The sequence below is a fragment of the Homo sapiens genome, chromosome 11 (assembly GCF_000001405.40).
Source record: "Homo sapiens chromosome 11, GRCh38.p14 Primary Assembly".
Classification (NCBI taxonomy): Eukaryota; Metazoa; Chordata; class Mammalia; order Primates; family Hominidae; genus Homo; species Homo sapiens.
The window spans coordinates 32,081,974-32,105,887 of record NC_000011.10 but is presented as its reverse complement, the minus strand read 5'-3'; the positions used below and the strand labels follow the sequence as shown (position 1 = coordinate 32,105,887).

Below are 23,914 nucleotides of genomic sequence, written 5' to 3'. Positions count from 1 at the left end.
GGTATGAAAGGGACAGTGGTAAGGAGATGATGCTACTGCTGGTAGGGGCCAGATCCCATAGGCCTCCTCCTACAGCGCCTCATAGGCCCAGGGAAGAAGTCCAGATTTTCCAGGTGCAACCTTTTTCAGGAAGATTTTATAGTTAAAATGACCTAGAAAAGTAAAGGCATTAAGTACATACATTTATTAAATTAGTAAATATGAGTCTATTCTGAACATTCTAGTAATTGGATGAAAAAAAACCCCAGAACCTTTATAATGTTATTCATGGGATCCAACCCCACTGTTTTATGCTATATGAATAATGTCACAAATAGCATCTGTGAAGTCAAACACCACAGGACACAGTAGAAAATCCTTAGGGGGATCCTTTATTTCATTCACTTCCTCCTTACAAGGTGAAATTTCAATCTGTACAGGTTGTGTCTGCCAGTTCAGTCCACAGCTCAGAGTATCACCTTGTCCTCATTCCATGGTATAAGCTGTTGCGGGGGGACAGGTCTGCGGGTCGTGGATTCACTGGACTGGATGGGACATGATCCAGAACTCCGCTCCGTTTGGCTTCCCAAGGATCCCACCAACTCATTCTAATCAGTGATCACTGAGGAAATGCATTGTATTCCTATTCACTATTTCAAAGATCAGGCCTACCTCATTGGCATATTAAGAAAGTTTTCTCAAGTATATTTAGTGTTTATCATTTTACTATAGTTCTTCAAATGTCTGACATTCATCTTTTCCCTACCTCTAAATTCCTTTCTTTTTCACATTATCTTTCTTGATTGCTTTTTAATAGAAAAACAAACAAAGACATGGATTTACTGTGCATATTAGCAGATCCATACTGGAAAATGCATGGAGGTTTCATATACACCACTTACAGTAAGTAATAACTCAGAGTATAAAGTCGAAAAGAAAGAATCTGAAATATTAGACTTGTTCTGAAATAAGCTTACCTAGGATGATACCACTTTCGCTTAATCAGAATTTCCCCTTTCCAACTATTTAACAGTGGCAAATATAAAAAATCTGGTAGTTAAAATACACAGCAGTCACTTCATATTACTGCCTCCCTCAACCCACTCACCTTCTGAAGAACAGGGCTTTTTCAAGTTTTGTTCCCCTTTAAGTTTTAATAGAAAAAAAAAAGTTTTAAGTCATGTTGTACCAATATATCCCCAGAAAGAATTGCAATTTACCAAGGTTTTCACGTGTTTTGAGAGAAATCTTACTGAAAGACTAGTGATGTCCATTTTCCAGTAAATACTGAGCGAAAAACAATTTTTATACCCCAATCTGAGGTATAAACTTGCTTTTTGTGGGATCACAACTGCTGTAAATTAGACAATTGTAGCAACAATCCAAGACAATAACAGAATGCCTATGACAGTCTGCCATATTCTGGTGAGTGTCTATCAAAGCTCATCATGATTTTTTGTGAGATCTTCCCCGTAATTGGTAGCTTGGCTTCCGACAAACATGTTCCAGTTCTCCAATATTTCCTCTTTAGTTAGCTTCTCATCCTATAGAAGAGATCAAAGAGCACTGTCATGGAAGCTCTGGTAACTGTACTAGTTCTGTATGATGTTCATGTCATTTCACTGATGTACAACATTTAAAATACTATATTTAGTAATCCAGAAGCTACTGGGCACCTCCTTCATCTACCATGACTGCATTGCAAAACTCCAAATCGGAACAGCCTCTTGCTATAAAAACCGTGCTAACGTGTCAGGGAAGTCCCCGAGTAATTCAGAAGCTAGAATCCATTTGTGCCCACAAGCAGTGTTGGTCTTCCCAAAATAGGCCCTCAAGAATGCCACTTTCCTCTTACAGCCTCGCTGCCTAAACTGACTGTTGGCATAACCTGAGAATTTGGGGGCAATCAGCAAAGTGGGGAATAGGCAGGACATTTTTCTAAATGTATTGATTTGTTTATTTGGATGTTTATCAATAGATACCGAAGTACTAGGCATTAAAGCCAGAAACCTGAGCTTGCCTGAGGATGTCTGGGCTTTAATGGGATGGGCTTCCTTGTTCCTGACACCTCACAGATGTTTGATAAGTATTTGGTGACAATGAATGGATAAATAAGCTGATCCTAGGGCAACACGGGGTATACTTCTTAAATCGTGTCCTGCCCACAAAGTTCTGCAATCTTAGGAAATGTGACTTAATGTAAGTCTGTGGCTCACAGCTGACTTTCCAGGAAAGTTGGGGCCTAATAATTTTACTGTGGGTTATCACGGTATTAGCTCAAGTTTACAGGTCTCCACTGTAGGACAAGAAGGAAAAGTCAATAAAGACATGGCCACATGGGTCAATGCTATCGCCGAAAAAGCAAACAAAACCGATCTTATGTAAACTGTCTCCCTTCAATCAGTGATTCCAGAAGAATGGGAAATACCTTGTTTTTGTCTGATTCATATACCAGATGCCTGGCCTCAGCCTGTGCATGATCATAATCTTGAGGGAGGATCCAGTGGCGAATCTCATCTTTGTCTAACTTCCCGTCCTTGTTCAGATCCCGGAATTCGTTAAACTGCTCCCGTTCTGATAAAACCCAGTCTGGCTCAGGGCCATTCTCCTCATGGGAAAACATATCCGCTAGAAGGGAAGGTTATTGTTGGTTACAAAGGAAAGTGGGAAGGTAAACCTCCCCCACCCCCATAAAACAAACTTGACCTCCTGAGCTTTAGGAAAGGCGACAACCAATCCAGAGACCTAACTCAAACAGCTGGTAGGCAGCTTCTTGGGGATAATGATGCAGTAATTTATTCATGATGAAGGCCATGTGGTGGAGTAGAAAGAACTGAGTTTAGAAGCCAAAAGATAAATCCCGGCTTTTGACTTAGTTCAGTGACTGAGCCTGAAGTTTCCTTGTCTGTAAAATGGAGATGATAATTTATAAATCATGGGGCTATTATGATCAAATGTGCCATTTTGATGTAAAAGCCCTCTACAACCCAAACTGGCACTACATAAGCGAAAACTAATAATAATGACTAACATTGAACACTATGGTCCAGATACTGTATAAAGTGTTCTACACACAGTTTTCATTTGATTTTCACATAACAGCCTTACAAAGTGAGTGCTGTTATAATTCCCATTTTACAGATGAAAACAATGAGGTAAAGTCTTACCCAATGACCCACAGCTCATATGAGCTGGAGGCTGCACAGGAACATGGTCACTCTGCTTTCAACCCAGAGTCTTAGCCACTGTGTTTAGTACTATTGTTTATATCATTTCCAAAGGGCTTTCACTTGTCATTATATTTCATCCTTATAACAATTCTACAAGATGGGTCATTATCCCCATTGTACAAAATGGCAAGGAAAAGAAAAAGGAAACGTTTTTGCATTGTGTGTGTGTCAGTAGCTCTTGGAAAAGAGAGATACCCTGCAGGCAGTTTCTCTGTCACGGAAGCAGAGCTTGGAAATGTCAGGTGGTGAATGAAGCAGGTAGTAAGTGAAGGAAAAAAAAAGACAAGACCCTTGACTACAAGGTAGACCCCTAACTGACATGTCTACATTGTTTTTGAGAAAGAGTTGTAATATGTATTAGCTAATTCGAGCTTCATCGAATCCTGTAAAAATGGGCTCACTTTTTTTCCCCCATTTTACAGATGAGGAAGCTGAGGTTTGAAGCCATTACATGATTACCCCAGGGTCACACAGCTAATTGGTGAAGGTAGGGTTCCTAATTCCAGTGCTCTTCCTACTACCACCCCCCACCACACACTTTCCACTTGGTGCCGCTTGAAGAGAAGCCTCCCCGAGAAGTGAAATGACGAGTCAATACATTGGGTTTCCTCTGCCTGTGAGTCACTAGGTATTCGATTTTCAAGCGCAACGCCTCCACCTCCCTCTCCCTATTCACTGTAAAGAATGGGATGCTTCTTTTAGGCAAAGCCACTCAAAGAGTTCTGCCTCTGACTTTGCACCATTTCAATGCACAGTTCCGGAGGGCTGGGCAGAGCGCACACTTTCAATCAAAAGCACTACATTGTTTGTTTTGATCATGCAGTCTTTGCTGTCAGTCTCATTTCATCCCCAGTGCCACAGTAAGAGGTCTGCGCCTCCGAACGTGACCCTCGCACGTGGACCCAGCAAGAGGAAGGCTCAACTGCTTGCTCTGATGAGGGAGCTGTCAGCATATGTTATTCTATCAGGGTAGTGCCACCAAGATCACTTTAATTACTGTGGCGAGAGCTACCTTGTCTGTTACCAATGACACACAAGGAACAGTGTTTGGCTCATGATCAAACATAATTTCTAATGATTAGAGGAAAGTCTGCTCTTCATTGCTGAAGGCACTTGTTCTCGTGTCTGGGATGGCAAAGTAATACAACCACAAAACCAGAGACAGCAACTCAGGCTCTGAGTTTTACATTTAAAGGTAATTAATGGCTTTGATTAAAAATCTGTACAAAAATTATACATATTTCATTTCTCTTTTCATAGGTCAACACCTAAACCAAATGATTTTCCAGCTTTTACTTTATTGAGACTTGGGAAAAGAGCTGCCATGAGAAGGGAGCCTGCAGCTGGAGCCATGTGCCATAGCAGGTGGTGAGGATCAAATGGAATTGTCCTTGTTGCCTGCTCTAGTCCTTTCTAGCGGGGGGTTGGGCTGGGGGGGATTTGGGGCTACCAGGAAGGGCTCTAACCAGCAATGGTGGGTTCAGACCCAAATACATTAATTTGACACTATAGGACTCCCATCCAAAGGATGGGAAACGAGGGGCACAAAATGAGCATATTATTGGGCAATTGTGCACTCTGTAAAGCATTTATCTTTCTAAGAAGAATGCCTTTCTGCAAAGTGCTCAGACACATAAACAGTTCTGTTAATCACAGCTGCATCTACTCAGAGTTTCTAGGCTCCATTGACCCAGTCCAGTTTTAGAGGCTTTGCCCTGACACTGTCTCCTCTATCTTCACTGTAAATCTATGGGATCTCCAATGTCCTTTTGCAAAGGTAAAACTAGGCAGTGTGATGAAGGGCACCTCTCAGAGTCATGGGGCCAACTGTTGGCCAGCCTTGTGTAGGGCCAGCCTTTTCATCTCTTCTCCACTGAATGAGGCCTAATAATACTTCCCTGATACTACATCACTAGGGCTGATGGGACAAGCAGGCTGGAAGCTCCCAGGAGTGACGTATAGACTTGCAGCTGTTGCTAAAAGAGACGTCTGGGGAAAGTAGCCAGACGTGTGGGTGGGGTCATGTGGCCCAGTCAGGACAGCTGAGCAAGACTCTAGGTCAGTACTCACCAATATACTCATCCTGATCCACAAACCCATCCCCGTTCTTGTCGATGTCCTCCAGGGTTTCCTAGGAAGCAAAAGGTAAAACAGAATGCAAGATGGCCATGTGCTCTAAGAAGTCTGAGAATTCTATTGTCCTCATTTGTCCAGCTTTTACGGCTGAATGCTTGGTGACTTCTGGCTCATCGCCTTACTTCCCTGGGAACTAGTTTTTTATCTGTAAAAAACAGGCAATAGTTTCTGTTCCTAATCCCCCACCCCAGTTTCCAGAGCAGAATGCTTTCTTCAAAGCAAGCAAGATGTACCTGTAACCCCAGAGGTGCTCTGACGATATCAGGAGGCCCTGCCAGGCCAACTAACTCCACCATCCAGCCAAAACACCCACTGGGGAACATGCGAGAAACCCAGTGTGAGAACCACTGGATTAGATGACCACAAGAATAGACTCTAGTGCTAACAGGACTATGAATACTGAGTTGGTGTCAAGAGAAATGTGAAACAGTGGGCAACTAAAAAATAAAAGTATATCTGACTTTTTGATGTATTGTGCTCTGTATTTAGTATACTTGACCTCTTATTCAGTATTTTTTGATTGGGTCAATAATTAAATGAGTTTACTGTTCATTGGCACAGCAACTCAGAGGCATCCTGGGTCAAACCAAAGAGCCAACCTGAGAGCAGAGAGCCACTCCCAAAGGCTCGTAGTCTACTCGGGATCATTCACCACCTGCACTGTCCTCTGCCACATTAGCTAACACTACATGAATGTTGAGTGGTAAAGAGAAATGATTCTTGGAGCCACTGCCCAGTCCTTACAGTCATGGCAGTCAGGAGGATGAAGCATGAGTGGACCCTTCCACCACCTGGATAACTAAAACCATCCACAGCTCGTGTAAACAAAAGCTCTAGCCATCTGTTTCCCAGGATTGAAACAGTTGGAACTGGGTTGGTGCATCTGCCCAGGAAAACAGGTGATGGCATTTATTTAATTGTCATGGAAAATGAAGACATTTGGGACCCAACAAGACACTACGGAAAGCAACTACATTCTGAGGCCTTACAAGCATAGTCATTCCTCAAAGCCTAGGGCCTGATCCACCCACCCTCCAAAGACCCACCCGCTAAGGGTAGCATCTCTTCCAGCCATAATTTTTACTTTACATTTCCATACAGTTTTAACAATCCAATTCATTCCATTTCTGAGTCTTTTTCCAAGTCCCTTAAAATTGAAAAATGGGGCAGAGACTAGCTAGTTGCTCACTTAAGCCATTTGCTCTTTCTTTTTTTTTTTTTTGAGAAGGAGTCTCACCCTGTCGCCCAGGCTGGAGTGCAATGGCACGATCTCGGCTCACTGCAACCTCCGCCTCCTGGGTTTAAGCGATTCTCCTGCCTCAGCCTCCCAAGTAGCTGGGATTACAGGCACATGCCACCATGCCTGGCTAATTTTTTTTGTATCTTTAGTAGAGACAGCATTTCAACATATTGGCCAGGCTGGTTTCAAACTCCTGACCTCATGATCCGCCTGCCTCGGCCTCCCAAAGTGCTGGGATTACAGGCGTGAGCCACTGTGCCTGGGCCCCATTTACTCTTTCTAGGCACGTATCTAAACTGTATTTCCCAGCCTCTTCATATCTAGGAGGGACCAGTGGAACATACGTGAAGGGGATGTGTCATTCCCTGGCCGGAAGAGTAAACAAAGACTGTATCTTCTCATTCCCTCTCTTTTCCTTTGTCAGCCAGCTGGGTGTTGCCAGGATGACTTTGAAGCTACAAGATGGCAGAGCACAAGCAGGAGTGCTTAGAGGAGAACTGGGTACCCAACTGTGCTCAGAGAACAGCCCAGGAGGTCCATCTGGCTGGAACAAGCTTTGCTAGTGTTAAATGGCTACAACTGGGGGCTATCTGTTACAGCAGCCAGCCTGACCTGACTAATTTTCTGGGTAGACGGGGATTCCAACAAACTCTACTTCAGAGTCCTTCTCCAATTCCCTTCAGGCTGAAAAATCTTCTCTCTTTGGAAGAGACAAGATTTGGAGGCAGTTTTCTCCCTGGTCTCTTCCCAGCCCAGACTCTTCACTTATCTTACCAAAACCACAATTTCCTTCATATGTTCAAACTCTTCAGGATGCAGAAAGGCAGTGAACTCCTCCCGAGTAGCTGTCAGGTCACCATTGAGGTCTGCAGCTTTGAATCTTCTCTCATCACGTGGCAGCATCTTTTTAAAGGTGTGATGATCTGAAGAATCATGAAACTCTGCGGGGTTTCCTGCAGGATGTATGTATGCAGAAATGTTTTTAAACCGTGCGGTCAAGAAAGGCGTTTCCTGCCAGATCACTCATCCTGCATGCTCAAATGGTACATATAGGGAAAAAAGGTCCCGACCTACTGAGTTCTTTAAAACATTCTATGTCAGAATGCCTCTAATATCAGTCCCTTCAAGCCACCCCATAATCTAGGCCTCATGGCATATTAGGGGAATTACTGCAAGTGGTTAAGAGCGCAGGCTTTAGACTATATTACTGCCATACTTCTCTTTGCAGAACTCTACTTTCATCATCTCATTCTTAGATCTGGAACATACAGAGGCTCTTTGGTACCCAAAACATCTTGTCTCAACGCCGTGCCTGGCTTTCAAGATCTCCCCGATTCTGGCCGCGTGAGTGCATCTTTGGTTCTCCTTGGGCCTGTTTCTTTGCCAACCTCACCATGCACCCAGCAGGTCTGCACCCCGTGCCTCTGTAATCTCATTTCTCCTTCCTTCTCCCGATCTTGTTTGTCTTGGATCTAAACCCTTCCCATTACTGCATGCATTGCTGCATCTTTGCCCCTCCAGTTGACCCACCTTCTCCAAATATAAATCCATTCTCCAAGGCTCCAGTTTCCAAACCACCCACACCAGGAAGCCTTCCCTGACTGCTCCGGCCCACTCAATCCTTGCTATCCAGAATTAGGCAGCATTTTGAAAATATACCACAGACACACTTCCTTTCTGCTTTCTTCTCCGTGTGTGCATCTGAGACGAAGTTGAGATGGGGTCTCAATCTAAGGGATTTTTTTTATTAGCCCTCACAGCCCTTCCCTCCCACCTGTAACTTCATTCAGTGTAAGCAACTCAGTACATTCTGAGTTTACAGAGGAGGGTGTTATACAAGCAGGTTCTACTTAGGAGGCTGTGACATCTCCCTGAAGGGAGTGGATATGATAAGAGAAGAGAGAGTCTACAAAAAGCTTGTGATCTGGGCCCCCACTGTGTCATCGCTCCTGCAGCACCTCTTACCTAGGTAGTAACCATAGGTGGCTTGTTTGTATTCTTCCCAGGAAATTTTATCATCCTTGTCCCTATCATAATCCTTCCAGACTTTGGCGACATTATCAAAGATGTATCTTTTCTGCACCCGTTTGATCCAGGTTTTCAGCTCCTCAGTAGTGACAAAGCCATCCCCATCATTGTCGATTCGATCAACAATCTTCCTGCAGTACAAAAAAAAAAAAAAAGAAACCCACACACAGGCACAAGGCTGTTATATTATCAAGGCTTGTGTGATGCTGGTCCAGCAAAAGATCAAACACCTGCACAATCCAAAATGCACATACAACTACAACAGAATCAATGATCCAAGGAGGCTGGAAGGAATCTTCAAGTTTATCCTTCCAAGGTTGATGTGCTTTCCCCCAACCAGTGCTGATGGCAGACACTGCTAATGGATCGTGCCCCTCTGTCCTGATAAACCTAGAGGTGCTCTCAGAATTCTCAGCACTGTGCTCTGGTGATGGCCATTATCAACGGATCAGAGCTGATCTGTAAGATGAAACCTATTAATCTTCCCTGCTGTAGTCCAGCACCCTCATTTTGGAGTAACGGAAACTGAGGCCCAGAGAAATGGAATAACTTCTAAGATTACACAGCCAGTATTTGGTAAAACTGGGGTGAGAACTCATGTCTTCTGGCTTAGGTCCAAGGCAAAAAGTGGAAACTGTATGTAAATCAAAAGATAAGTGATTTTTTTTTTTAAATCCCACCACCATGGATACAAAGACTTGAAACGTAAAGCAAGAAGACACCAGATGGTGGACACAGCACAAATGTCAGGGCTGAAGGAGCCTTGACATCATAGAATCTATTCACAAAACTTGACCAGCTGATCCGCTCTAGGAACCTTAAACCCTCTGCTCTTAGGGTAAAGACTCCTATACCAGCTCCACAGCTGGCCTAGGTTTCACAAATTTCCCACTGAACTCCACTGAGGTACCCTAAATGCTAGCCCAGAGCAAACTTCAGGCTGGGAACCCACTTTTGTCATCTCTAGACCAGATGGTCCCAAACCAGGACAGCATCCCAGTGGGGAACTTCAAAAACACCTCCAAGCTATCCCCAGTGTTTAAAAAAGTTTCACCCTTGTAGTCCATTTATCTGGGAGGAGGTCATACAGGCTAACTCTAGATTTCTTTCTTTGTTTTGGGCTGGAATTCTAACAGCTTCAGTGGTAAAACTTTCTTGTCAACAGACATTCTGAGTGGCAATTAATCTTTAATTAATAAAAAATGGGAAACAAATTCATCAGTTTGATAGTTTGACAGAGAAAATCTCCTATAACTTTTTTTTAGGTGGGGGAGGGTGTACACGAGAAGGGGAGGAGTGAATAATCAATGTCTCCACCTCCTACCTGAACCCAAGAACCCAAGCTCCTCTTTCTCAGGAAGGTGTAAACATCACCAACAGCTTGAAAGTACCCCTTCATTTGCAAGTTTAACAGGTCTCAATCCTAAAAGATAGGCTGGATCTGTGATCCCAGTGCTTCAGGAGGCTGAGGTGGGAGGACTGAGGTAGGAGGCCAAGAGTTTGAGAGTAGCCTGGGCAACATAGTGAGATCCTGACTCTACAAAAAATTTAAAAATTAGCCAGGAATGGCCGGGCATGGTGGCTCACGCCTGTGGTCCCAGAACTTTGGGAGGCCGAGGCAGGTGGATCATGAGGTCAGGAGATCCAGACCATCCTGGCTAACACGGTGAAACCCCGTCTCTACTAAAAATACAAAAAAATTAGCCAGGTGTGGTGGCGGGTGCCTGTAGTCCCAGCTACTCGGGAGGCTGAAGCAGGAGAATGGCGTGAACCTGGGAAGCTGAGCTTGCAGTGAGCCGAGATCACGCCACTGCACTCCAGCCTGGGCGACAGGGCAAGACTCCGTCTCAAAATAAAAAAATTAGCCAGGAATGGTGATGCATGCCTGTAGCTCCAGCTACTCAGGAGGCTGAGGTGGGAGGATTGCCTGAGCCCAGGAGGTCGAGGCTGCAGTGTGAGCTATGACTGTACCACTGTAAACAAGCCTGGGCAACAAATCAAGACCCTGTCTTTAAAAAAAAAAAAAAAGACTAAAACATGAAACTTCAAGTGTCTTCAGGCTTCTTCCCCCAGGAAATCATAGCCAGACACAGCAGAATTCTTTTAACATTGTGCAGTGTTGAGCCCAGTTATGTGCCAAGCACTGCTCTGATCCTGGGGACACAGTGGAGACATGCCAGTGGGTTACCCAACGCCAACTGGGAAACATAATCTCAGGGTAATGACATCAGACTCTACAATCCTCTTTTGTGGAAAGGACAGCATCTAATCTATGCCAAATAAACATCTAGGACATAGCTCAGCCTGACAAATATTAGGGACTCAATAAATATTTGTTGTAAGAATAAATAAGATCTTAACCTTCTCTTTAACAATGTCAAGGGAGATCCTGGGAAAGGCAGCTAGGATGGAGATGAAGCCTAGCACTTTCATCAGAACACCTGGATCCCCGTCCTGCCTCTGGTCCCCATTATCTGCGTGATCTTGGGCAAGTGTCTTGACTCTCTGAGTTTCCCCATCTGTAAACTGAACACCTACTTCACAAGGAATGTTGTGAGGAATAAAGGAGAGAATGCATGCTTTTCCTCACTAAAGACAATAATCTAGATCAGTGGCTGATGGTAGCTGCTACACAGTAGCCATTCGGGTGTTTGTTGCATGAATAAATGAATGAAGTTAAGGTGTTGATGCAAGGAGCAAACCCAGACCAACTCCATCATCATTTGTTCTCAACACCAACAGGTAACAGAATGAGCAAAACCTTTTGATGGGACCTATGGCCACTTGGAGGTACCCTGCTAGCCGCCAAATAGGGCTGGCCGACTCTGCTGCAGACGATGACTGACACATGGGAATAAAGGTGTCAAGAGAAGCCAGATATGGGGGTCTGTATGTGAAACCATTCAAACTTTAAACGTGGGCAAGTAATTTACACTGTGTCGCATATTTATGAATGCATGCAGCCTACGGGTTCCCACTTTGCAACCTCTGGTCCAGGTGTCTTTAGGGGCCTTAGAGCTGTCACATTTTCAGGACTGACAGGTGATGGTGACAAAGTTGCCTAGATCCAGCCACACTCATTCCTCCTCAGCCCAATCTTGGAGGGGACCACTGAAACAGAAGCTTTGGACAGAGGGGCAGCTTCTCACACTCAGCCCCATCCCAAACAGGACCCATAATTTCCAGCACCTCCTACCCCGCCTCTACCCCACATTTAACCTACAAGTGAATGGTGCATCCATCACCCATCTGGTGGCTAAGGCCAGAGACCCGGATGTCCCCTTGATTCCTACCTCTCTCTTCTCCCCCTCATTGAGTCAAGAGCAAGAGCTGCCAGTTCTGCCTCCCACTGGTGTCTAGATTCATCCCCTCCTGGAATCCGGAGAGACCAAGCCCCTTTGGCATTCACCTCCTCTCCCTGCCACTGGTCTAGTCTGTGCCTTGATTATGTTCTCTGTGTACTGCCCTCCTGCCAGCCTGACTTTCCCAATGAGTTTTGGGGATTATGACATTTTGACAATGTACAGGATAACATCTCATGTCCATCTCACCAAGGTCCTTCCTGCTCTGCCCTTGGTTTCCCCTCCATTCTCACCTCTCACTTCCCTTCCCTGCCCCTTTGCAGACTCACCACCCCTCATGCCCCAGAACGCTTTTCAAACCCTTTAGAAATGGGCTGTTTTCTCTTCAGGAAGGCCTTCCCCTGCTGTACACCTGGCAACCTCCAAGTCATCCTACAAACTCTGATCAGGTGACAGCCCCAATCCCCTCTCTCTAACCTGCAGCCTTGGCGGCTCCTTCTCCTGAATGTGCTCACAGTAGGTTTTATAGGCCATCATTGCAGCAATTGTGCATAATGGCTAGTTTGTCTGTGCTTCTCTCCTCCACATTTGCTTACAAGCACTTCGACGCCCAGAGCATAAGGTTTCATCTTTGTACCTGCCAGTTATCTAAACTGGGGCCTGGTACACAGTAGCCATTCAAATGTTTGTTGCATGAATAAATGAATGAAGTCAAGGTGTTGATACAAGGATCAAATCCAGACCAACTTCACCGTCACTTTTTCTCACTACTAGGCTGAACTGTCACAATGAAGGCATTAACTGGAAGCTGCATGACCACACCTTATAAAGTTTTCCAAATCCCAAAACCTCTCCCTGCCTCCTCTCCAGTGACAATGTGGCTGCCACTCAGGGCTCCAGGATAAATCAGTCTCCAAGTGCCTCAAAGCAATACAATAGACTGAACTCATCAATGGCCCCTATTGTTAAGTCCTAACTGAGAAGAGAAAGTACTCTGCAAGATAAAAGGTAATTGTTTGGAGGTGACTTTGAAGTTCAAAGGTCTTTTTATCAGAGCAGGCAAATGGTGCACCTACACAATAGGTATAATTTATCCTCATATTCCAATGAAACACTTTGGCCTTTGGAGGCCCCCAGGAGCACAGGGATGGCTGTGTTCTCTTTCATGTGGCAGAACATGAAGATCCTCCACCCCCAGGAATCAGGTTCAGGGAGATCTGAGACCTGGTGCCCAATAGGCAGGACTGCTGGTTTCTTCCCCAGCCCTGCCTCCATCTGGGACCAGGCTGCCTGCTGGGTCCTCTGTGCAAGGACCACCAGATACCTCCGCACAGTGCCCAAGTGTTTCCTCAGGGGACCCGGGGAGGGTGTACTAAAATGCGCCGAAGTTTTGTTTCCCGGGTTTGGTTCCTGACTCAACTGCCTTTAACAGCCCAAGTCAAAATCCTCCACCACCAAGAGAACCCTCCAGCTTTTTGCCCCCCAAACAAATCAGTTGCCAAAGAACTGAGTGCTTCTGCAGACATCTGCTGCCAACAGAAACGTTTCAGGCGAACCGTTTCCATTCCTGCTCCCTCGTGTTTCCAATCGGAAACTGCGTGTCCCTTTTCAACCGGATTTTTGTATCCCTACACTAGATTTTATTTTATTTTTATTTTTATTATTTTTGAGATGGAGTCTCACTCTAGCCCCGGCTGGAGTGCAGTGGCGCAATCTCGGCCCACTGCTACCTCCGCCTCCCGGGTTCAAGCGATTCCCCTGCCTCAGCCTCCCAAGTAGCTGGGATTACAGGCGTGTGCCACGACGCCCGGCTAATTTTTGTATTTTTAGTAGAGACGGGATTTCGCCGTTTGGTCAGGCTGGTCTCGAACTCCTGACCTCAGGTGATCTCCCCACCCCTCCCCCCGCCTCGGCCTCCCAAAGTGCTGGGATTACAGGCGTGAGTCACCGCGCCCAGACTCCTTACGATAGATTTACAGGGCGATTAGGCAAAAGGCAAGACCACTGCGGCCGAGACCAGGAAGCAAGCCTGTCGCTCGCCTGCCCCTTCATCTTTTATCCATTTATGTTCATCCCTGAGATTTTCTTAGCGAGTGTCTCAAGCCCTTCTCCCCGGGAGTGGGGGATCAGAGAGAAACTGCGAGAGAGTGGGGAGGAACTCATGGCACTAACAGGCCACTGTGGACAAACTCTTCTTTTGTGCACTCTCCCCTCCCTTCTGATGCAACCTGGGGGAGGGGGCGGGCCCTCGCCGTCCTGGCTCCCGCGGCCGCTGCCACGTTCTCGCCTCCCCGCGAGAAACCACCCCGGCCGGGGCGCGGCGGCGGCGATCTCCAAGCTGGGGTCCCGGGGCCCTCCAGCAAGTTAGCCTGAGCCCCAGCGCCGAGTTGGGCAGGGCCCCATCCTCGAGGCCGCGCGCGCGATTTCGCTTTCGCTTTGGCGGTGGTATCCCGCGTGGCTCTCGCCCAGGCGGCCCTCGGACACCTGCGCCGCCCCCCACGGGGCCCTGGCCGCGGCCTCACCCTAGCCTCTCCTTGCTCTCGTCCGGGGTGAGCTGGTCGAAGGTCTTGGAGTCCTCCTTGCCCAGGAAGGCCTCGTGGTCGTACTGGAAGCTCTGGTTGTCCTCAGGGGGCCGCTCGCCCAGCTCCGAGTCGGGCCGCACCACGCGCTCTTTGCGCACCGTGGGCTTGGCCCGCAGAACCCGCGGCGCCAGCACCAGCGCCAGCAGCAGCCCCAGGGCTAACCCCAGGCGGCGGCCGCGGCCACCGCGCGCCATCGTCCCGAGGAGAGGGCGGCCGAGAGGGAGACGCTGAGCGAGCGACAACAGCGGCAGCTCGGGAATGGGGACTCGGAGCGCGGCGGCAGCGACAGGGTTGGGGCCGGCGCGGAGGAGGGGACTGGCCAGTCCCTCCGCCAGTGCCCGCCCCGAGCCGGAGCAGAGGGGCGCGCCTGGGCCTCGGGCTGGGAAGCTGCGGGCGGCCCCGCTCGCGCGCCCATTGGTCGCTGAGCTGCCGGGGGAAGCCGGGGCCGCGGAGCCACGTCGCCAGCTGGGGTGGTGGGCGCGGGGCTCGTGTTTCGCCTCGGCCCCTCCCCGCGATCTTGTTGCTAGGGGCGGGCCCGGGCGAACTGGGCTAGGGACTGGAGGGCTCGGAGGAGGATTGGGAAGTTCTTTGTCAAGCAACAGATGTGCAGGATAAAATTCCCTCTGACTTCCTACAGTTCCGGGAAAACTGTAAGGAAGGAGACGTTGCCCTTCCTCAACTTCCAACTGAGACCCCGAATCTCAGCCCTAGACCCTGCTCTAAGATGTGCTCTCAAACCCAATTCAACCCCATTTAGTAAAATTTGGAGTCTGGTTACAAACGCGAGCCTGGAAGGAGACCAAGACGGGCGAAGTCCCCTAGAAACGAGGGTCGTACTGTCAGTCGTCAAGGAGGGTCAAGCGGGGAACTTCTATATGACCAAGAGTCCCTCTAAAGGGAGCGGTACTGTGCGTTCCAGCTGCCAGGGGAACGCAGGCCCCACGCTGATAGATAGTCCTGTTTCCCAAATGAAATCAATCAGGATTTTAGATTTTTATGTTTTATTTCTAAATGTTGGTAACTCATTTTACAAAAGCACTAGTTGGATCCAATCTTACCTGTATTCAGTTGGTAATGCTACCAATACAGATATCTGTCCCATCAAACTTTCTGCAATGATGGAAATGCCCTCTATCTGGTCTGGCCTGTAGGTAGTGGCTGTTGAGCACTTGATGTGTAGCTTAGTGTAAGTGAGGCACTGAAATTTTAATTTAAATCTAAACTTAAAGAGCCACACGGGACTAATGGCTACCGTATTGGACGGTGAGGTCTCGAGCAGTCTCAGCCTTTTGACACTCATTGAAAGCCATGATCCTCTTCCAGAAAAATGCACATACAGCTACTGACACGGGTGCTTGATTAAAGAGTCGGAGGATTCATGGATCTTTTGAAGCCCCACCTATGAGCCCCAGGTTAAGAATCCCTAGAAGGCCGGGCACGGTGGCTCATGCCTGTAATCCCGGCACTTTGGGAGGCGGAGCCAGGTAGATCACTTGAGGTCAGGAGTTCGAGACCAGCTTGGCCAACATGGTGAAACACCGTCTCTACTAAAAATACAAAAATTAGCTGGGCGAGGTGGCGGGCGCCTGTAATCTCAGCTAGTCGGAGGCTGGGGTAGGAGAATCGCTTGAACCTGGGAGGCGAAGGTTGCAGTGAGCCGAGATCATGCCATTGCACTTCAACCTGGGAAACGAGAGAAACTCCATAAAAAAAAAAAAAAACCCTAGAAAACTGAAACGATAGTTGAAGAGGGAAACCCACCATGACAGCTAAATATCTGTACTCCTAGAAATTTCCTCCATCTTGCCTTGCCTCCCACCTCCATCCCTGATGTTTTCAAAAAGGTCTGGGATGTGCTTCTTGCCCTTGCAATAAAGATGTCGTCGCAACATAGACGCAAGTCCCTTTCTTGGGACGCCCTCTTTCAATCAATTAATAAATCATTACTGTCTTACTACTACAGCCTAAGCACTGGACTGGGTGCTGAGGGTACAATGGAGAACAAGATAATCATGGTGTCTGCAGAGCTATAGTGTATATGAACAGATGTTCATTCGTTCGTTCGTTCCATAAACTGAGCACCTGCTAAGTGTCAGGCTGTGCTGGATTCTGGCTAACTGAGATCCATGGATCACAAGTCAGCATGACAAGTGCTCACAGAGAAAGGCATGTAGTGGTCTGGGGGTACTGAACCGATCCAGACATGGGAATCAATCAGGGAAGGCCTCCCAGAGGAAGACACATTTAAATTGAGACTGAAGGTGAGTAAGATAAGCTAGATGGAAGGATGTAGTTATGTGAGAGAAGGATAAGATCCTGTACGAGCTAGCAGAGGACAGCTCCACATTTGAGGCAATGTCTTTGTGACCCCACTGGCTGGCAGTGAGAGCTGGGAAGCCAGTCCTTGGATCCCCGCTTCTCTTCCTAGTCCCCTTCTTTTCCTTGGATCCCCCCCTTCCCACCAGCTGACTTTGCATGGCACAAGAAGTACTGTGCCTGAGACCAGACATGCTTCCCCCAGCCAGCCTAGAGATCTGAATTTCTAGCAATAGAGGAGCATTACCTTGGGGGTGTAAGAGCTCCCTGCTGAAATGCAAGTGTCCTAAGGTAGGCGGTTTAGTACCTTCTGTGCTCATCAGGCAAGCAGGATATGAATTGTTGAGTGAGTGAGGGAGGAGAAGGAGGAGTGGGAGGAGGAACAGGGAGAAAAAGATTGGGGCTAGAAAAAGAAGGGGACTAGGAAGGGAACGGGAAAGCGAGTGGAGACTGGTGACAGTTTTTGCATATTCACAACTTTGGCCACAGGCTGGCCTGGGTCCCTGGGATTGGTCCAGACTCTCCAAAAAGGCATATCTTTTGCCCTTGTTATAGTTGGCTTCCTGCCAGACACTGGTGGTTTCCAACAGTTAGATTGTTTCAGAGGTAGTCTTGGCTCCTGTGGGAATTACCAGAGAATTCTAGCACTGCTGTGAATCCGGAAGAATTTACATAATTTCCCCTGGGCTTGCCTACACTCTTTTCCTTTATATTTATTTTCATCCCTCCACCCTACCATAAGAGTTCAAGTCCTCCCAATCAAAGGTTCAGGAAGGATGATGGGACAGAATAGTCAAGGTATTGCACTGTGTAATTGCTTTCTTTCATTTTCAAAGCTGTTTTGCATCTCCCCCCCATGTGCATGTTTGGGAAGAGTGACTAAGTGCATTGTCATGCCTTAGGTCTTAGGTTAACCTCCATTCTTGATGAAGCAGAGGAACAAGAACAAGATAAGTAACATTTAGCAGAGGGTTGATTCAGTGAAAAGGAAAAGCGAGTTTCAAATGGGTAAACTGATCAGCTTAGGGTATGCTGGTCTCCCGCATCTGGCCAAAAGTAACACCATCAACTACAACAAAAATCCAACCAGAAGTTACTGAAACAAGAAGAAAACTTTACCATCTCATGCAACAAGAAGTCATGAGTTATATTGGTTTCAGATTGGTTAATTTCAGTGGTTTCAGGACATCATCAAGGAATCAGGTTTTTTTGTTTTTGTTTTTGTTTCTCCCTCAGAAACAGTAGGGGAAAGGAATGTTCTCTCCCTTTCTTTGAAAAATAAACTTTCCCAGCAGACTGTCCCTCATATCTCATTGGCCAGAATTGTGTCATGTGCCTATGCTGGATCCAGTGACAGGCATGGGGAATAGAAATTCCATGATTGATTTCAACCAATCAAGACTCACTGGTAGGAGCTGGAAAGTACTGTATGTAGCATCCTCTGAAGCACATGATTAGGGTTCTGTGGGCGAGGAAGAACAAGCCAAATAGCTGTGTCTGCCACATGTTTAAAAGCACTTTCAGCATCTCTACCTCCCTCCTGCTTCTCCACCATTCAAAATTACATGAACTTTTCAGGTCCCAACTCAAATGTCACCTTCTCCATGAAGTTTTCCCTTATACCTTAAATCAGAATTAATTATTTCTTCATCAATATGCCCAGAGCCTTTGTATCTCACATACTTCTCACAGTCAGCTTTGTATTAATTTTTCTTCCCTTCTAATTCTGAATTCCTTGAGAGAAATGATCACAGCCGATTCATGTCCATGTTCGTAAATCCAGGGCCTACCATATTTACTGCCTTCTGGCAGAAGTTGATCGCCATAAGACAGATTTGCTGTGAGACCAGGACCATATTCTTTTGGCTCACCACTGTATACTCAACCTAGTATAGTGCCTGGCTCATAGTAGGTGCCCCTAAAATATCTTGAATGAATGATAAAATAACAATAGCTACCAACTTCTGCTTCTGGTCAAGATGGAGTGAAGGAGGGACTGGATTTATCCTCCCATTTGAAACAAACAAACAAAATATATGAAGCAACAGTTTTCAAGACACTGGACACCAGGCAATGAACAACATTGGAAACAAACTAGGTGAGTCCCAGGATTACCCCAGAATTACCTTGGCAGAGTTGCCAGGTCACTGTGCAGAGAGGGAGAACTAAGATGGATCCTGGCAGACTCCTGAAGTTGAAAAGACAGAAGTGAGTGTCCAGAGAGACCAAGTCAGCCGTGGTTCTAAAGAGAGAGTACTGGAGAGAAGATGGCTGCACAGAGAGAGAATCCCAAAGCTCCACAGAGGATCCCCTTGGCCATTCAGCAAAGTGGTGAACAGTGCATGCGTGTAGGCTGAGGACTGAGCCATCTGAAAGGATTAGAAGGAACAGTGGGTGCCAGGCATGGTACCTGTTCCCATCAGTCAGACTGGAAAAACTCATCATTCATGGGGCACTGGGTACTTAGTAAGGTCTTGCCTCAGTGGTGGGGAATAATTAACCCTAGACTGAGCACTGCTCCAGAAAGTGCCTCTCAAAGCACAAAGGCAAGACCTGAAAAGCTCAAGAAAACATACAAGAATTAAAAAAAAAAAAAATTTGGCACCCAACAAGGTGAAATTCACAATTTGCATTATCCAATCAAAGACACAGCAAGGCAGGAAAACACAGCGAGGAGAATAATCGGTCTGTAAAAACTGACCCAGAACTGACACAGATATTAGACTTAACAGAGAGGAACATTAAAACAATTATTGTAATTGTGTTAAATGTTTTAAAAGTTCAGAAGAGCCAGAGAAAATACAAAAAAGACACAAATTGAAAGCCTAGATAGCAAAACTTTGAAATCTGGGATGAAAAATACACCATATAAGATTAACAGAAGGTTAGATATTGCAGAAGACAATATCTTTTTACTAATTAAATACTTTATTGAATAAATACAATAGCAAAGAATGCATTCAAATGCTTTCTAAAAAATTAATTTTAAAGGTCTTTCTATTCAGACTAATGATAAACGCAGTAAAGGCAGATGTGCTAGTTTAACATAATTGGCTTATTTCATACAGCACTTTTATCTTTTAGTCCACAAGTATATTATTAAATGATAGAGAACATCTAATGCAACCATTTCCATGGGACTAGGAAATACATTTCTAAGAAAGAAAGATGTTATAGACCCCATCTTTTATACCCACCCCCTCAGTCTAACTCTAAAGAAGATAAAAAAATAATGACTATCTTCACAAGGGCTCATGACTAATGTCACTTTGCTATCAAAATCTGTATCTCTGATCGATTTTAAGCATTGAGACAAGATTCAAATATTTCCAAAGAAAGAAGCACAATGCACATTGTGGTCACTTATTCAGCAACAACGAGCACTGCATCCAAAACTATCTCACTTCGGAATGAAATAAGGTCAGCCACATGCATGGGCATCTCTTCCGCTATGGTATCGTAGAAAGTCTCAGTGTCATGAACAATCTATTTGTCTTCTTCAGTAACAGTTTATATCCACACCTTTCTTCCCAAGTCGACCCCCTCTGCCAATTCTTTGTTCTAATTGTGTGCTGTCTCACTTATGATTCCACGTCCTAAATTACATCAATGCCATTTCTGAGTACCATCTTGCCATCAACTGCTGCTGTCGACTCCTGTGAATATAGTTTTCACAATTGGTAGGTAGATCACAGTTTGTAACCAAAGACACTCATTGCTCCTCCATCCCACAAGCCGACAAGTCATTAGTGATCAGAACACAGCTTGACCCTGATCAGAAATCCCTCATGCTAACATCTTTTTCCTTCTAGTCCATATCATCATGCAGAGCAGGAACTGTGAAGTCCCTGGTGTGCGTTTTCTCAGTGAGCCTGCTCACCTTGCGTCTTGCACTGATAAAAATCACAGCCTGTGTGATGGTCAGTGTCTCGTGGAAGTCACAAAGTATATCTAACTTTCATTCCTACAGTATTTCAAAGAGAAAGGTAACAGTCATTTAGTTTTCAACTTTCTTTTGTTAGATATTCATTCTGTTAGGTCTACTGATATATTGCACCAAATCTTAAGACAAAGATCACTTAAGAAAGAGGTCCCCCAGTCTTTACAATGAGAAGAAAATATTAATGAACTTGGAGGCATAGCAATAGAAACTGGCCTAAGTAAAAGACTCAGACAAGAACGAATTTTAAAAATTAAAGAGCATTAGTTATCTCTGGGACAAACTTAAATTTCTGTCTTCCTTGAGCTGCTGTGGCCACTTCAGGAGGGAGGGGCTGAAGATGTGTTGGTTGGTAGGGTCTCCAGGGAGGTAGGACTATCCCACTGAACCCAGGAAGTGGGATGTGCCACTTGGAATTATATATATAATTCAAGTCTGTGAATGGGAAGCAAAAAATATACATATTTGAAAAAATGATGTGAAAAAATCTCCAAACTTTATGAAAATTATAATCTGCAGATCCAAGAAGCTCAATAAACTCCAAGTTCAAGAAACATGAAGAATACTCCACTAAGACATCTCATAATCAAATTGCTTAAAACCAGTGATAAAGAGAAGATCTTAAAAGCAGCCAGAGAAAAAAGATAAGTTAGGAATCTATTGTCAGTGTAACAAAGATAGCAACTTTGATATCTTAAAGCAAGTTATTTTTATTTCTGGTGCTATTGACTGAATTGTGTCGCCCCAAGTTTCATATGTTGAAGTGGTAACACTCCCTTTTCTCTGCCCTATGTGAGTGTATTTGGGGACAGAATCTTTAGGAAGTAATTAAGGTTAAATGGGCAGGCGCGACAGCTCATGTCTGTAATCCCAGCACTTTGGGAGGCTGAGGCGGGAGAATCACTTGAGCCCAGGAGTTGGAGACCAGCCTGGGCAACATGGAGAAACCCTGTTTCCACAAAAAAAAATACAAAAAATTAGCCAGGCATGGTGATACACACCTGTGGTCCCAGCTAATCACAGGGCTGAGGTGGGAGGATTGCTTGAGCCTGGGAGGTTGAGGCTGCAGTGAGCCATGAGCATGCCACTGCACCGCAGCCTGAGTGACAGAGCAAGACCCTGTCTCAAAAAAACAAAAAACAAAAAAGTTAATTGAAGTCATAAGGGATACAGATGGGGCTGTAGTCTAATAGGACTAGTGTCCTTAGAAGAGGAAGAGAGAGGCCCCTTGAATGCACGCACCAAGGAAAGGTCATGAGAGCATGTGAGGAAAATGTGAGAAAATGGCTATCTGCAAACCAGGAAGAGAACCCTCACCAAAAGCCAACCATGCTGGCACCTTAATCTCAAACTTCCAGCCTCCAGAACTGTGAGAAAATACGTTTCTGTTGTTTAAGCTACCCTGCCTATGATATTTTGTTATGCCAAACAGAGCAGACCAATACACCTGGTAATTATATTTCGTAGTTGTCCATGGCCCTGGTACACCCAGGTTATGTGTAGATGGAGAAGGGGATACCAGTTGAAAGGGAGGGAGCCTAAAAATTCAAGAAAGAGAGGGTAACTGATAAAGCACTGTCTAGATCTATACAGCCCTTTGGAAATTAAAAGAAAGCTAGGGACTCACACCTAAAAATTGACATAAAGATTCTGCTTTGCTTTCTGAAGATTTGTGGATCACCTTCAGGGCCTCATGGACTCCTCATGATCCTCTGGATCTGAACCAAAATAATCACTGTCCTAGGGAAAACCAGTTGTGTTGGGGTCGAGAGCTTGGCGGGAGATGGGAGGTGAGGAGGGTGATACACTGGAAACAAACAGCAGGGAGCCATTTAGAGGGAGATGCAAGGGCAGTTGGGCATGTTCTGAGTCAATGTCTCCACAGAATGTGAGGACGGTAGGACAGGAGTGCTGGGGCATAAAAGTGCTGAAAAGATTAAGATCTATTCGAATTCGGCAAAAGGATAAGGAAGTAGGAATGATGGAAAGAAGTGAGTGTTTTAGGGACAAGCTGGGATCGGATTATATGATTCCATGAGACCCCATCAGCCTGATGGGTAATTTTCACCAGCTCTCTGAGGAGGGTTTTAGCAACAGCACCAGTAATGGCAGAAAAAAAAAAAAAGTATTTGGGATTTATTGCAAATTGAGAACTGGTAAGGACAGTAAAGGGACGGATCTACTTGCTTTAAACTAGGATTTGTTTTAGGTAAAAGCCTAACTGCAAATGGGATAAGAAAGGAAGAAAAGAGGAAGAATGAGAGAGAGAGAAAAAGAAAGAGAAAAATAGAGCAAGGAAGGAGGAAATGCAGGCAGGCAGGCCGGCAGGAAGTCCTTTTATCCTTTAGAAGGATTAAGGTGGTAGCTATCCTTGTCCTGCCTTGGGGCATTGAATTTCTTACTCTGAATGTATGAAATTTGGCTTCCTGTTAGTAGGAAATTTTAAAAGGTCTCTTTTGTTTTCCTAAAGGTCATAACTAACCTCTGTGGGCAAGAAGTTACTGGGAAGGCTCTACTCTGCTGTTAGGATAGTAGGGAACCGCAGTGACCCCAACCCTTGCCTCCTCCAAGGTAGAGGAGCTTTTAGGCTTCGCTGTCTCTGTGTGGGCTGGAAAGATGAAGCCACTGCCAACCACAGAGCTCAGGGTTACCAGTGGGATCAGACAGGCAGGTTCTGCTACCTGCAATCCCTTAGTGAATCCTGGACAAGCCAGTGTTACCAAGTCTCCTGGACAGGATGCTGCAAGAGCGGACAATGACTTTTTCCACAAAAAGTACTTGAAACACACTCAGGGTTGTTATGGATAAGCTAAAGGATTTCAAAATTTTTTAATGCTGTACTCTATGGAAAAGATTTTTTTCTCCCCTTTGAAAATTGTACAAATGACACATGTTCCTATAGAATAACTCTAAAACACAGATAAACAACAAATGAAAATCACCCCAAATCCTACCATTTGGAAATAACCACTTTCAGCATCTTGTGTATCAGACCTGACTCATTCATATGCAAATGTGTAAATATATGTTTTATGAAAATGGTATCATATTACATACATTGTTTTGCAACCTGCTTCCCATTCCCATTCCGCCTACAATTTATCAGTCTGTTGTGAACATTTCAAGTCAATATACATCTGCATCAGAATTCTTTTTTTTAA

General features: G+C 45.5%; 1 protein-coding gene and 1 pseudogene across 1 annotated transcript, besides 2 other annotated features; both read right to left on the bottom strand.

Annotated features, from left to right (window-relative positions):
- Positions 1–165: 165 nt before the first annotated feature.
- Positions 166–14,814, bottom strand: RCN1 (reticulocalbin 1). The gene is made up of 6 exons (NM_002901.4): positions 14,438–14,814; positions 8,551–8,744; positions 7,360–7,538; positions 5,280–5,340; positions 2,408–2,607; positions 166–1,523 (listed from the first exon to the last, which is right to left on the bottom strand). The coding sequence occupies exons 1-6, from the start codon at positions 14,689–14,691 to the stop codon at positions 1,416–1,418; spliced, it is 996 nt and encodes a 331-aa protein (NP_002892.1). The 5' UTR covers positions 14,692–14,814; the 3' UTR covers positions 166–1,415.
- Positions 12,880–13,601: an enhancer, noted in NCBI's record as "OCT4-NANOG-H3K27ac hESC enhancer chr11:32113833-32114554 (GRCh37/hg19 assembly coordinates)". NCBI's record gives its function as "activates a minimal SCP1, AML or CMV promoter by ChIP-STARR-seq in naive H9 embryonic stem cells {active_cell/tissue: H9 hESC(naive)}" and the evidence as "EXISTENCE:reporter gene assay evidence [ECO:0000049][PMID:30033119]".
- Positions 14,070–15,099: a silencer, noted in NCBI's record as "silent region_3220". NCBI's record gives its function as "represses an Ori minimal core promoter by ATAC-STARR-seq in GM12878 lymphoblastoid cells {active_cell/tissue: GM12878}" and the evidence as "EXISTENCE:reporter gene assay evidence [ECO:0000049][PMID:35858748]".
- EIF4A2P5 (eukaryotic translation initiation factor 4A2 pseudogene 5) lies at positions 20,176–20,777 on the bottom strand (annotated as a pseudogene).